Source organism: Homo sapiens, chromosome 18, assembly GCF_000001405.40.
Source record: "Homo sapiens chromosome 18, GRCh38.p14 Primary Assembly".
Lineage (NCBI taxonomy): Eukaryota > Metazoa > Chordata > Mammalia > Primates > Hominidae > Homo > Homo sapiens.
Window position 1 is genome coordinate 32,832,971 of NC_000018.10, and position 13,747 is coordinate 32,846,717.

At 37.3% G+C, this 13,747-nt stretch overlaps 1 long non-coding RNA gene across 18 annotated transcripts in view; it reads left to right on the forward strand.

Annotated features, from left to right (window-relative positions):
* Nucleotides 1-465: 465 nt before the first annotated feature.
* The window catches only part of LOC105372058 (uncharacterized), an 83,282-nt gene continuing 70,000 nt past the window's right edge, over nt 466-13,747 (forward strand). For 14 of the 18 annotated variants that reach the window (XR_001753390.2, XR_935347.2, XR_001753391.2 and 11 more), the window contains exons 1-2: nt 466-553; nt 1,886-2,221. This is a non-coding gene — a long non-coding RNA (uncharacterized LOC105372058). Of the gene's footprint in view, nt 554-1,885; nt 2,222-4,938; nt 5,209-13,747 lie in introns of those variants that run through there. The other 4 variants (XR_935361.2, XR_935360.2, XR_001753399.2 and 1 more) reach the window with 3 other exon arrangements.

Sequence of the window (13,747 nt, forward strand, 5' to 3'; positions counted from 1 at the left end):
GGCCGAAAAAAGCTAGTTTTAAATGGCCAAATCAGTCTCAAGTTTTAATTAACCTTTTAGCAATTATCTTAGAAAATCTTTAAGATTTTAACATTCCTTGTAATTTGGAGTTTTTAAGAGCTCATTTAGAGGCACCGCTGTCTCAGGCAGCAGTGAAATGTGTTGTTCAGCAGGTGATTTGAAGGCTGGGTGGCCAGCATGCACCCTGGTGTTGGTCCCATGTCCATGGCTTAATAGCTGTGTCCATCATTTTTGTCAGACCTGATGATTACTCCATGATCACCACAAAATGTTAACTGGTCTCCTGTGTCTCCACACCTCTTAGGCATTAAAAAAAGAAGGATTGTTTATTTTTAGAATGAATAAGTCTGGCTAGCCTGATTTCTAGTTGACAGTGATACTGTTTTGTCACAATGAATACCTCAACAGGAATTCCAAACCCTAGAACTTGCTTTGGACTCAACACATCTAACCACTCTTCAGCTGATATCCACTTGCTGACAAATGAATCTCTCTGGCCCCTGGACTGTGCCCTGAAACACAGCTTAAAACAGTTAAGTGCATAGACAATATGCCACAACATGGCACAGCTGTAGATGGGATGGGACAAAAAGAGGCAATTGTTAGAGTAGTTACTGAGGTCACAAATTCAATTTTGGTTAGTGTTATGGTTCAATCATGGGCTCTTATTCAGACTGCCCAGGTTCAAATCCTGGCTCTGCCATTTCCTAGCTCCGAGGCCACTAGTACAGTTAATTAATCTCTCTGTTGTTCAATATTATTCTATGTTAAGTGTAGGTAATAATATTAGTCAGGACATAAGTTGTTGTCAGGAATAAATCGAGGTGTATCATGTAAGGGATTAGCAAGCCCCTGGCACCTAGTAAGTGTTCAATGAAAGTTATCTATTATTGCCAGTGACTAGCAAATTGAGACTTTGTAATATTTATTTCCATTCAATTCTATTCAACTGCAACAGTATTACTGCATATCTAACATGTTAAAGCATTGTCCTACGTGTTGAGGGATAAAAGTATAACAAAAATATGGCTCTGACCTCAAAGAACTTAGCATTGATGGAGTGAAGTTATACCTGGCTAACAGCAATGAAGGTTTGAAAATACCAGAACAGAGGCACAAACCATGTTTACACACCATTTGGGTTGAAGGAGAATCTATGATTCTTACTTGAAGTGGAAAGGAAGATGGTAGAGGACAACCAGCTGATCATTTGAGCTAATCTTGGGATGATAAGTCAGAATTATTAGTAAAAAAAAGATTGGAAGTGTGAGAGGCTATTCTGATGGATTTTGGGGTGCAGGAAGATGGGAAGTTGTAGGGATTGTTCTGAGACTGACAAATGGTCTGATACACATGAAGCATGCATCTTATTTCATGGGGAGCCTGCATGACACAGAGAAAGGAGCATCAGCTTTGGAGTCGGTTTGACCTGTGACTGGATCTTTGTTCTGTCTCAATAGACATGGCCTGGCCATGATGCGGAACCTCACATCCGTTATATGTGTAACGATGATGATGATAATCACATATGTTCCATAGTGTTGTTGTGGGCATTTATGGGAATAATATAGGTAAAGCACTTGGCATTTGATAGCCACCAATGAATATTTTCTTTGTGGAGCAGAGAGTAGGAGGTTTGCTCAGCAGTTTTTCAGATAGCCCAAATGCCAGCTGGAGCTCCCCTGTGCTCTGAGGCTTAGGGAAAATAGACCCAAGCCCCCAGTGCACTTTCTATGCTGTCTCCACATTGCCAGGTCACTTCTGGTTCTGAGCTTCACCCTAACTCTCCTCGTGCCCCTTGCTTCTCTTCCAGAAGCTGTCCTTGAGCTGAGAACGGTAGGATGAAGTTTTTTTTTTTCCCTAGGCAGAATGAACAGTAATCCCAGAGATCCTGAGATGAGAAAAGGGTGTTTGACTTATTCAAAGAAGACCAAGGAAGCCCAAAGACCAGAGAAGAGTGCAGGAAAGGGGCGGCGGTCTGAGATGCAGTCAGAGCAGTGGCAAGCCCCCAGAGTCTGTGGCAAAGACTTCAGGTTTCATCCTGAAGAGGAAGACAGGTCTTTGGAGAGTTTTGATCAAGGAAGTGAGATGAAATATCTTAGGCTTACAAAGAACTACTCTGACATCTAAATGGAAAATGGACTGATGAAGCAAAAGAAGCCACAAGGAAGCCAGTTCAGAGGCTATTGAAATGCTCCAGGTGAGAGATGATGGTGGTCTGGATGAGGGATGTAAGAGTGGAAGTGGTTAGAAATGCTCTAGGGAGAAGTAAGATGACCCATTTATTGATTGGATACAAAGCGGGGAAAAAGAGGAGTCAACGGTGTGTCCAAGGTTTTTAACCAGAGCAACCAGGGTCATTACCATTTACTCCACGGGGAAGGACTGAAGGAGGAGCACATGTGGGAGGGATGAGTTCTGTTTTGTATATGCTAAATTTTAGATGACTTTTCCCATTGACCATCTGTGTTAGTCTGTTCTAACACTGCTGTAAAGAACTACCTGAGACTGGATAACTTACAAGCAAAAGAGGTTTAATTGACTCACAGTTCCACATGGCTGGGGAGGCCTCAGGAAACTTACAATCATGGTGGAAAGAGAAGGGGAAGCAAAGCACATCTTACATGGCAACAGGAGAGAGAGAGAGAGAGAGAGAGAGAGAGAGCACGCACAGGGGAAGTTGCCCCTTTTAAACCATCAGATCTCATGAAAACTCCGTCACTATCAAGGGAACAGCACGGGGGAAACCACACCCATGATCGAATCACCTCCCACCAGGTCCCTCACTCTACACATGGGGATTACAATTCGAGATGAGGTTTGGGTGGGGACACAGAGCCAAACCATATCATCATCCATCAGGTGGAAATGTTGAGCAGGTAGTTGAACACATAATTTTGGAGTTCAGGGGAGAAGTTAGGGTTCAACATTAAATTTGGAATGACACCATTCTTCACTATTGGATGAAAATATTACATCTACAGCTTAAAACTGTGGGCAATAACATGCATTTTTATTTCTGACAAGGAGGAAATAAATTTTTTCTGGGTTAGTTTGCTGTAAAGACCAAATACTCTGCAGTGCCTAGGAGGCAGGAGCCTGGGAATAAGTCCAGCTCCACATGTTGGCCTGTGTGTGTTGTCCAGTGAGGGAACTGAGAGTCCAGCACCAATGAATGTGACACACAGAGGCCCAAGTCTTGGAAGAGGAAGCAGAAATCAAAACTGCTCCAGAGCACATCTGGAAAAAACAAGCAAAGCTCATCTTCCTTTATTTTGTGTTTTGTAACACTGAGCAATTTGATTAAAACAAATCAGCAGGACAAAAAATGAAGTTGCTTTTCTGTGGGGAGACAAAATCAATGAGAAGAATCAAGGTTGAGTAAATATCTTATGGATACTCAGGGGAGATAATATTCCAATTTCCAGAATTTAAAGGAAAATTTTTAGAATTAGTTGTTTTCTAAAACATAAAGTTACTTTTATTTTGTACCTTAAATGACATTGAAAGTATGGGGCACTTGTAAGAGTAAATAGTTCACACCTAAGAAGGTCCCAAAAGTGCTTATAATATGTTTTTTACCAGATAAGATGTGGACATTTAAAATAAAATAATGTCTTTACAAAACTATTTGCATAAGTGATTTAGATAGAGTTGGCATCTAAACCAGATTTGGTGACACAGGTGAAATGATCTGATTGGCTGTCATAAATTTCAACCCAGGCAATGACACTGGAAAAGAATCAATGCCTGCAAGTGTGTCGCCATGGTGGTGCACCACTCAGAGATGCCTCCAAGGGTGAACCTGCTACAAAGAGTGCGCATGGCCAACAGCCCCTGGTTGTGCTGACTTTGGGATCTGCCTCAGCTTTTGAGCAGATATCAAGCACTTGCAAGGCAGCCTCCTGCCAATGACTGAGCAAAGCAGCAGTAGATGGGCTTGCAATTTATTTCTGGACGGTGAGATGCTCCTTTTTGGGCCCTTCTTGTGCTGGAGCTACTCGTTGTGTTAGCCGAGGCTTTCCCAGGGCTACACCATGGTCTGAGGCTCTCCTCCCTGTTCTTTCTTCCTTCCCTTGCACCTTTGCAAGGTGTCAGACCTCCATCATGGTCTAAAAGGCTTTTCCTAACTGCTCTTGTTTCTTTTCCCCTTTCTCTTTCAAGTCACTCTCCCCAGTTAATGTCTTGTGCTTCTAGCTCTGTCTTGGCATCTGCTTCTGGGAGGACTCAACTAGTTTATTGCATTATCTTTTACTTTGTCATATCAGGGAGCCCCCAGGGAAGATGTGGGAAGATAATAATTAAGCTTGCTTTTATTGTTTTTCTTTTATTTGTATTTTCCCCATTAATACCAATTTTTGCTTTTTAGGAAGATATGACAAACTCTAGGTCATTCCTTGTCTCCGATTCCTGCTTTTCAGATTTCTGCTCTGGCTAGGTTACATAGATTCTTTCTGAGAGAGAATTTAGCAGCTCTCAGGTTAACACTAACCTTTTGATTTAGTGTGAATAGTAACCGTTTGATTTTTAAAAAGTATACATCTTTAAAACGTAAATTTTACTCTGACAACTAAAAAAACTACAAATTTTTATCCACTATTTTCCAATTCTTCCTTGAAGTCCTCTGATGCAGAATTGGTTTCTACCAAACATAACAGATTTATATTCTCTAACCACAACATATTTAGAGAGGAAAGATTGTGACGGTGAATCTGAAAACAACTGAGACGAAGTTGGGGTGGGTTCACCCAAATCCAAGCTTTCCTCAGATAAGAATACCAGGGCTTTCCTGAGCACAGGGCTCATTGTCAATGAATCCCCACAATTGCCAACCTCTTAGTGTCCATGTATGATTTTTATCTGATTTTTGTTTTATAAGTCTTACAAGACCCATTATCCTTCTTTCTTATTTCTCAGCTGAACAGAATCCCGACATAAGTTTGGGATCATGAACCCATGACATCAACATAGTCAGGTTGAGTATGAAGAACACTGTGCTGTGGTGACAGGGAGCCTGGTTTTTTCCTGGTTTTGGCATTAGCTCTATGTGTGACCTCAACCAAGTCACTCAAGCTGTTACAGTCTCTCTATGTGGATGAAATGAAGGGGTTGAAATAGCTACTCACTGTAGCTCTGAATGGCTATAATTCTATGAAACTAGAAAAGAATAAAATGTGTTTATAGTCATTCTCTGACCCTATTTCTCCTTTTTTAATAAACAAAACACAATCCTAAAACACGTTTGTTTTTTCAAAGACAGTTTTTGCTTTATTCACACTCCTTCCTCTGCTTTGTGGGATGATCTCAATGAATTTCTGAGGAACTGAGAAGACCAATTTCCAAATCATCTGGAGTAATTAATTCCAGTGGTTGGAGTTAATTATGATTAGGCAATTCATAAAGTATACAGTAGAAAAAAAGCAGCAATTGATGAGACTTCATCTGCAGTGAGATTTTTTTCAAAGGCATTCTTCTGGCAATGCATTTCAAAGTTAAACATATGTGTGCTTCAATGGTGGGAAAATAGTTTACGAGGGTATCATTAGGTACGGGTTTCAATTATGTGCATATGGCCCTATGTATATTTTTACAGATATGATACATGGCTAATTGGTGTATAACATGGGAAAATTAATGACTATAGCAAAGACCTCCACTCTGTCATGTTTTTTATACTATTTACTGTAGTATATTTACCAAAAAATCCATTAGTAAAATGGCATTATATTATGAAATAATTTTAATATCTATATGAAAAATTAACAGGAATATATTGAGTATAAAAACAATAATTTGGGAAGCACTCTGTATTATAAAAATAAAGAATTTGTAATAATGCAATAACAGGCTGTATTTCTGTTTTATGATTCTGATAATAAAGCACTTAAGTTCCACTTTCATGGTTTATGCTGTTATCAGAACCCCCTAATATAATTAGATGGCCTTGTTTTAGATAATTACTTATATTTCCTTATTGCATAGCAAAAATCCCACTGGAAAAATCCTCAATATTTTAAATGTAAGAGCTATATTGCTGGAATAGGCCAAGAGAACTGGAAATCAACTTTACTCATAATACAGGGGCCAGGATTTTTGCAAGCTGGGTAAAAATGATAATACCACTCTCTTTCATTTTTACTTTTTTTATATTTCACAAATTGATTTTACTTTCATGATTTCTCTTATACTATTCTCTTACCACTCCTGTGAGTTAGTTGTCATTATCCACATTTTATAGATGGGGAAGTTCATGCTGAGGGGTTGTGGTCAGATTAAGTGGTGGAGCAGAGATTCAAACAAACACCCATCGTCTTACTCTAAAACTCCATTCTACTCACAACTTTTGAAATCACAAGAAAAACAATCTGGTTAAGAAGTATCATGAGTATGGTATGCTTTGCAATGTTGTGTTTAAAAGTTTATTATTAAAATGTATTTCTGATCCTTTCTCAGAAATGCCTATACTTCACCTTCCACCTTGGAGTTAGATGCCTGGGTTCTAAGTCAGGTTCTGTTATCAACTGACTTTGCGTCCTTAGCCAAACAACTTGTCCACTCCAAAAGGTGGTGGTGGTGGCAGGGTTTGGACAGTTTGGGAATGGGGGGATTGAACTCTTTTTCTAGATCTAAAGCATCTGATTCAAATTTTCTTAAACTAAAATTAACATACTGCTGACTGATTGACGATATCATTGTCATTTATGACACCATACTGTAATGTTATAGGATGCGATCAATCACTCAGAAAGTTTCCTTCAATAAGGACAAGCTAAAATAAGCTTGCATAAGATATTTACTTAGAAAATTATTATATCTGGAAAGTTTTTCTCTAAAATATCTTATATAAATAGGGCTAAACTTAGCCTACTCTGAAGTAAGAAAAAGAAAAGAGAAATAAACACAAAAGAAGGGATAGGAAAAAAAGGGAAGGAAAGGAAAGGAAGAGAAGAAAAATTCTCAAACATTAATTTACCTAGTCTTAATAATTTTCATATTTTTGTATTAGGTTGGTGAAATAGTAATCATGGCTTTGTCATTACTTTTAATACTAGTTTAGGATCAAAATCTATAGAAATATTTTAGTTATGGTGAGTAGGAAAACAATCTCACCAGTCATTTGACATTAACATAAGCATGCTTGCTCACATTTACTGTGCTAAATTACATAGAATTGTCTAGAAATGGTACAAATGCATTTACAATCGAAAATGCAAGTGTAGCTCAAATAATCAAATAATTGTTAAAATACTGCCCACACCTGATAGATAAATTTGGAACTAATTTCAAACTTTGTTGTAAATACAAGCATTCAACTTTTGCTCCTGAATGTCTATGACATTTCAGGTAAAAAGTTGTCAACTAAAACATTTCTATTTTATATTTCAGCCCAAGTTACATATGTTTCTTGTCTTATGCATTTACAACAAGCCCTGGTCAACTTTGTCCTAAGGAAAAAAAAAATCAATGTCTTAATGACAGCACTGTTTATTATGGACTAAGCATTTATGTATATAATTTACTTCTATCTTCTAAACAACCCTGCAACTCAGGTATTGTTGTCTCAATTTTGCTCATAAGAAAAATGAACTTAGTAGTATTTACCTGCCTCTCAAGGTCAGTTGGTTTCATTAACCACAAAACCTACTGTCCAGTTTGTTTCATTAACCACAAAACCTACTGTCCACAAAATCTTATCACTGATTTTAGTAATTTATGCATTTATATGGTAGGAAATATGCATACCAGTGTGGTGGAAATCTCTCTGTATTGGTTTTCCTGGATCATAGGGGAATTGTAGATGTGTTCATGAGTAGTTACCAGAAATAAAATTTTCCCCCAAGAGGAAAATTCCTTTATATTTGGGGATGGGTATCCATTAGTTATCTAAACTGATGCCCTTTTGTGTTCATTTATATTTTCTGTATTCCTGCCCATTCTCAAACTTTTCTGGGCTTCCTCTCACCCCCCAGCAAATGCCCAATTTTTCATGAGAGAAGGCATGACCTGGGACATTTGCCTATTTTATATATAGAACTATAAAGATAACGATACCCACCAGCAAATGAGGAAACCTGTGAGCTGTAAATGCCTGTGTCTCCAACTAATTCACAGAATTCCCTCCAAGGGAGGGACTTATTTTGCATTTGAACTCCAAAACACCTTTCAAGATTGTTAAACTTAACACCAGCCTGAAAATCCCAGTCATGCTGGAGATCAATTAACTGCTTCCAGAGCTCTACTAGCAACCCTTTAAGATGTTTGCATTTTAGAGTAATTTGGCCATTATCACATTTGCATCAAATGAAAACACATCATTATTTTGAGTGATAAGATGTTCAGTTAGAATACTCAAACCCTCTAGAAGCTTGCTTCTTTACCTACTTACCTTATCTAATGGTCAGATACCTTTTTCAGATGCCTTTTTTCCCTCTGTATCAGTGTCGAATCTCAGCTTGTCTTCTTCCGTACACTTGTTTTATTTGATTTCATTCTTTCCACTACATGATTGCTTCCCACATTCCCACATTAGGATTTATATGCTCTGAATATCCCACTCTTACATTTTTCAAGACAACTTTCTCCTGTTGCTTCAAAATTTATTACTTGACTACTTGATTACCTAATTATTTGCCATTAACTTTAACATTTTAAAATAATCTTTTATGGCAACAATTGGAGCTCATTGTAGAAGATTTATACAATTAGATAAGGAGTAAACAGAAAATAAGAATCACTGCAGTATCAGCCACCAGAAATAAACACTGTGGTGTATAATTTTCTTTATATTCAAGGATATTTTTATTGTCAAATACTACAATAATAAATTATGCTGTACAAACTGTTTTGTAACCGATGCCCACAATATAACATGAATATATTTCTATCTTTCTATTCTTTTTCAGCCTCATTTGCAATGGTTTTATAGTTTTTTCTTATATGGATATATACAGTTTATCCAAGTAATTCCCTGTTGTTAGGCTTGAGATTATTTCCATGTTTTTGGGTATCTTAAACAAGCTTATGATAAACAACCTTGATAAATAAATCTTTGGCACATCTATAATTTCCTCAGAGTAAATTTGTAGAAGAGGGATTACTGGGATATAGCTTGTACACAATTTTAAGATTACAAAAATAGATACATTTTTACAAAACTTCATCCAGCATAATTGTACAAATTTAGCCTCGCTAATGGTGCTGATGGTTTCTGCATTACTATTTTTATCATCCCCAAATATTACCAATTTTAAAGTTAATTTGCTATGTAAAAATTCATTGATTTTACTAGCATTTATTGTAATATCTGAAAAAAAGTGCACTTACAAATTTTCCTGATCTGTCTTTATATATGTGTGTATATGTATGTATGTTTATTGATTCTTCATGTTCTTTACTCACTTATTTGTTAGAGTATGAGTTCTTTCTTTCTAATTAATTCGTGAGGACATTTCCTGTATTAAAGATAGTAAAACTTTAATGTTGTGTTTGTTATAAGTATTTTTTCTAGTTTGCAAAAAGTCTATCAATGATTGCATTTGTTTCAACAGTTCAAAAACATGTGAGGTCATCTTTCCTTTAATGAGCTTTTTATTTTGATATCACAATTATCAGCATATTTTTGACCTTTATATACATTTTAAGCTATAGTACAGCTTCTAGAATGTTTGTGTTTTACTTATAAAAAATATAGATTTGCATTATTTAAAAGAGTTTGATGTAGGATTTTTCTTCTCAGTCAGGTTGCAAGCTGGGGACCTCTGGCTGGCAATGCCCAGCCTGGGCCCCACTCAGCCTTGCTGGTGTGCCCCAGCTTGCCTGTGTTATAGCCTGTACCTGCGTTCAGTGGTCCTGAGCTCTTGTACCACACCCAAGAAGAATGAGGATATGCTGGACTTTGAAGGGTGAGGAGGGCAGAGAAGAATTTTATTGAGCAATGAAACAGCTTTCAGTGGAGAGAATGTGGGGGTGGTTCCCTTACCTGGAGGTGGGAAAATTCCACCTGTGGCTGGGTCCAGGACCTCTTATGGACTCAGAATGGGGAGTGTATGCTGATTGGCTTGTGAGTATGTAAAAAGGTTAAAGCGAAGATGCCACTCAAAGGTGGGCACAACAGTGTAGGAAAGCAATTAGGAAAGGGTAGGTACATGCGAAATAAGTAAAGAGTGGGGCTCAATCAGAGGAAAGTGCACCAAACGGGAAGACAAGTTCTCAATTCAGTTGGAAGATTTAACTTGTAGCTTGGCTTTCAGGCTTTAAACTGTCTTCAGCTTGGAGGTGGGGTTTCACTGGGGAAACACCCCTATCTGCCCAGGCATATTTGGCTGCCTCCTACCTCTCTCAAGTTCAGAACAAAACAACGGATTAGAAAGGTCATAGAGAAAGAGGCAGAGGAATCTCCCCTACTACATTTCCCTTACCCACAAGATGCTTCTGGGCTGGTGGGGAAACTTTGATGCTGATGGGACATGATCTTAGAGGAGGTCAGGAATAGAGGCTCATCTTGCCCAATCATGTGGGTAGAATTGTCGTCAGCTTCTGGAACAGAAGTGACAAGGAAGCAGGGTGCAAGCCTGGCGAGCACTATTTGTTGCCTGTTCCTCTGTCAGTGGTTCAGCACATGAATGTTGCCCATCTGTAGAGGGTTGCTTTCCTTTTGGGATCATCTCCCATATCCCAGATTTCACTGAGTCCCATCCAAACTGAGTGTGAAAGACCCCACCTTTCAAAGGTACCACTCCGGAAAAGAGGAGGGTGCCACTGACACCCAGAGGAACCGAGTGGTATGGAAAGGAAAACGAGGTACAACTGTGTCATGGGAAAACCCATTTTGAATGCTTTCTGTGTCGTGTCCGTCCCGCTTAAACATCTTTTCTGGCAAGAATTGGTCTTAGTCATGATGATATCTTCAATGCCTGAAGTGTAGTAGGAACTCAGTTTCATAGAAATTCATTAAACATGGTACATGAAGGAATTGTGTTGCTTTAAAATCTGTCACCATGTTTAATTACTTTCTGATGTCTGCTAGATAACGACGATACAAATTGTGTGTTATTAAAGTAGTGTGCAATTTACTTATTTTTAAAAGATAAGAATAACATGGTAATCGGGGCTATGTATAGTTTCAGTGTATCATCTCAACCTCTTAAATTTATTTTATTTATTTATTTATTTATTTTTGAAGACAGAGTCTCATGCTGTTGCCTAGGCTGGAGTGCAGAGGTGCAATCTTGACTCATTGCAACCTCCACCTCCAAGGCTCAAGTGATCCTCCCACCTCAGCCTCCTGAGTAACTGGGACCACAGGTGTGCACCTCCATGCCCAGCTAATTTTTGTATATTTAGTAGAGATGGGGTTTTGCCATGTTGACCAGGCTGGTCTCAAACTTCTGGCCTCAAGTGATCTGCCCACTTTGGCCTCCCAAAGTGCTGGGATTACAGGCATGAACCACTAAGCCTGGCCCTCAACCTCTTAATTTTAATGAGCAAAGATGAGCATGTCATTTTAAAACAAATGAAAGAGGCCAGAGGAAAATAATAATTGTAAATAATTATTGGGTATCTGCTATGTGCCAAGCACTATTGTATATGCTTTATGATTAATATTTCATTTTTCTTCACTACTATTATTTTGGTTCACAATCAGAACTACCAGTTTATGTATAAGGAAATTAGGGCACAAAGAAGTTTAGACAAGCATTTTTAAAAAGATGAGAGGAGTGACTTAGAATTTGCATTTAAAAAGTAACAGGAGACCAACTGGATATAGAAATTGAGATGATATAATTAAAGTCAATTACATTTTGCATTCAAATATTTATTATCACCTCTGTAGCTAGAACTATGCTAAGTAGTGAGAGGGAATCACGTTATTGGGCTGCTATACAGAAGTATTTATACCACAGTTTTAAAGATAACCACTGACCTACACTAGCATTTGATAATCAAAAGATAGGATAAATGTGTATTCCAATAATCAACAAGAAAGTTAGTGTATGGAGGAGTTTCCAGTCTGTTTGTGGAGAACATGTAAAAGCACACACAAACACACACACACAAGCAAGCTGTTTTTCTTTGTAAAGAACTTCAGTTATTGTTTTATCAAAAACATAAATCATTTGAACAGTACAGGAGAATCAATAATCTGATAAGCAAGTTGTAAGCAAGTTCCAAAAGATACCATAATGACATTAAATATTCTAGGTCGTTTGGCAGGAATGAGGTCAATGTGTTGCCTTTGGTTTGGATAAGGGAGGGTTGGGCCTTTAAGGCCTTTGTGGGGTTTTGAACATTTGGAAGGCAGTAAAAGAAGAGAGACTAGACATTGGATGGGAAAATAATCTGCTATTGATGGGGGAAAATTTGAGAATCACAACTTAAATAAAGCATGATGACCCTAAATAATAATATGTTGAGTAGAATATTAATTATTGACTTCATTACCTCATACGGTAATTGTGAATATTAAATAAGGTAATACTTAGGAAATCTTAGCCATGATTCTTGATTATTATGAACATATTTACTTTAAATGAAGTAATGCCTATAAAGTGTTGGACAGAGCAAATGCTTGAGAAATATTAGCTATGATTCTTTGCTGTTATGAAAATGTTTTATTCTCTGTGACTTTTTACTTCTGCTTCATAAGTTATATGAATACAATTCTATGCAGAGGTTTTTATTTCTTATTTACATAATCGTTACAGGTTTAACCTTAAGGAAGATGGCAGTGTTTTCTAATCATGTTGCACGAAACATCATTTATGAAGAATGTTTTGGGATGCTCTAGCAGATGATAGTATTTATCTGCCTTACTGGACTGCTCTATTTTATAACAGGTTGATTCATGAAGGTTTGCTGGAGTCAAGGTTGCTATAATGAACGTCCAATATGTGTAAAACTATTTGAGAAATCTTGGTTAATGTAATCTATCTCACATTCTGGAAGACATAAAAATAATAATGAATATAAAAGAAAGCAAACTCAAAATCTGCTGTGACTTAGAATTATAGAATCATTGAATTTTGGGCTGGAAGGATTTTAGAGGAGAAACTGAGGCTCAGAGTGCGCAGAATGAATATGTGGCTTATGGAAATTCACATACAGATAACAGCATCTATTATATTTTGTCTCATGAAGTCATAACAAGTAGAACATAAAAAGCTTTTGATAGACATAGCTCCATGCTTCCTTTTTATAATGTAAATGTCATTAAAACAGTTATGTTGTAGTCTCCACTATAACAAGGAAACATAATATTTGTTAGATGAATTGAGAAAAAATAATGATTTGATACCAATAGTTAGGATATAGGGCTGATTTTCTATTTGTTTTCTCATTTCTGCCTTCCTGAGATTCTCCTCTGTACTTGTTTTTCAATGAAACTCAGAATAGAGCCTTGACCTTCTCTCGTTTCTTGGACTTATTAGCTGGAGATAAGAATACAAGAGAAAAGTAAGACTATAGAATGGTTTCCTTGTGACTTCATTTTAGAATCAATGACACTTTATAAATGGCTATGTGACATCAGCAGACAACTTTGGTTATCTGCTATCCACATAACCATTCCCAAAACACTTAGAACTTTGGTTTTGCTATCCTTAAATGCGATTAAAAGGTGTACCTACCTCACTGTGTTGCTGAGACTTAAATTAGGTAATACTTTTAAAAAGATTACAGAGTGTCTTTTTAGAGTGTGCACTCATTATTCTTCCTATCAATCTTATTA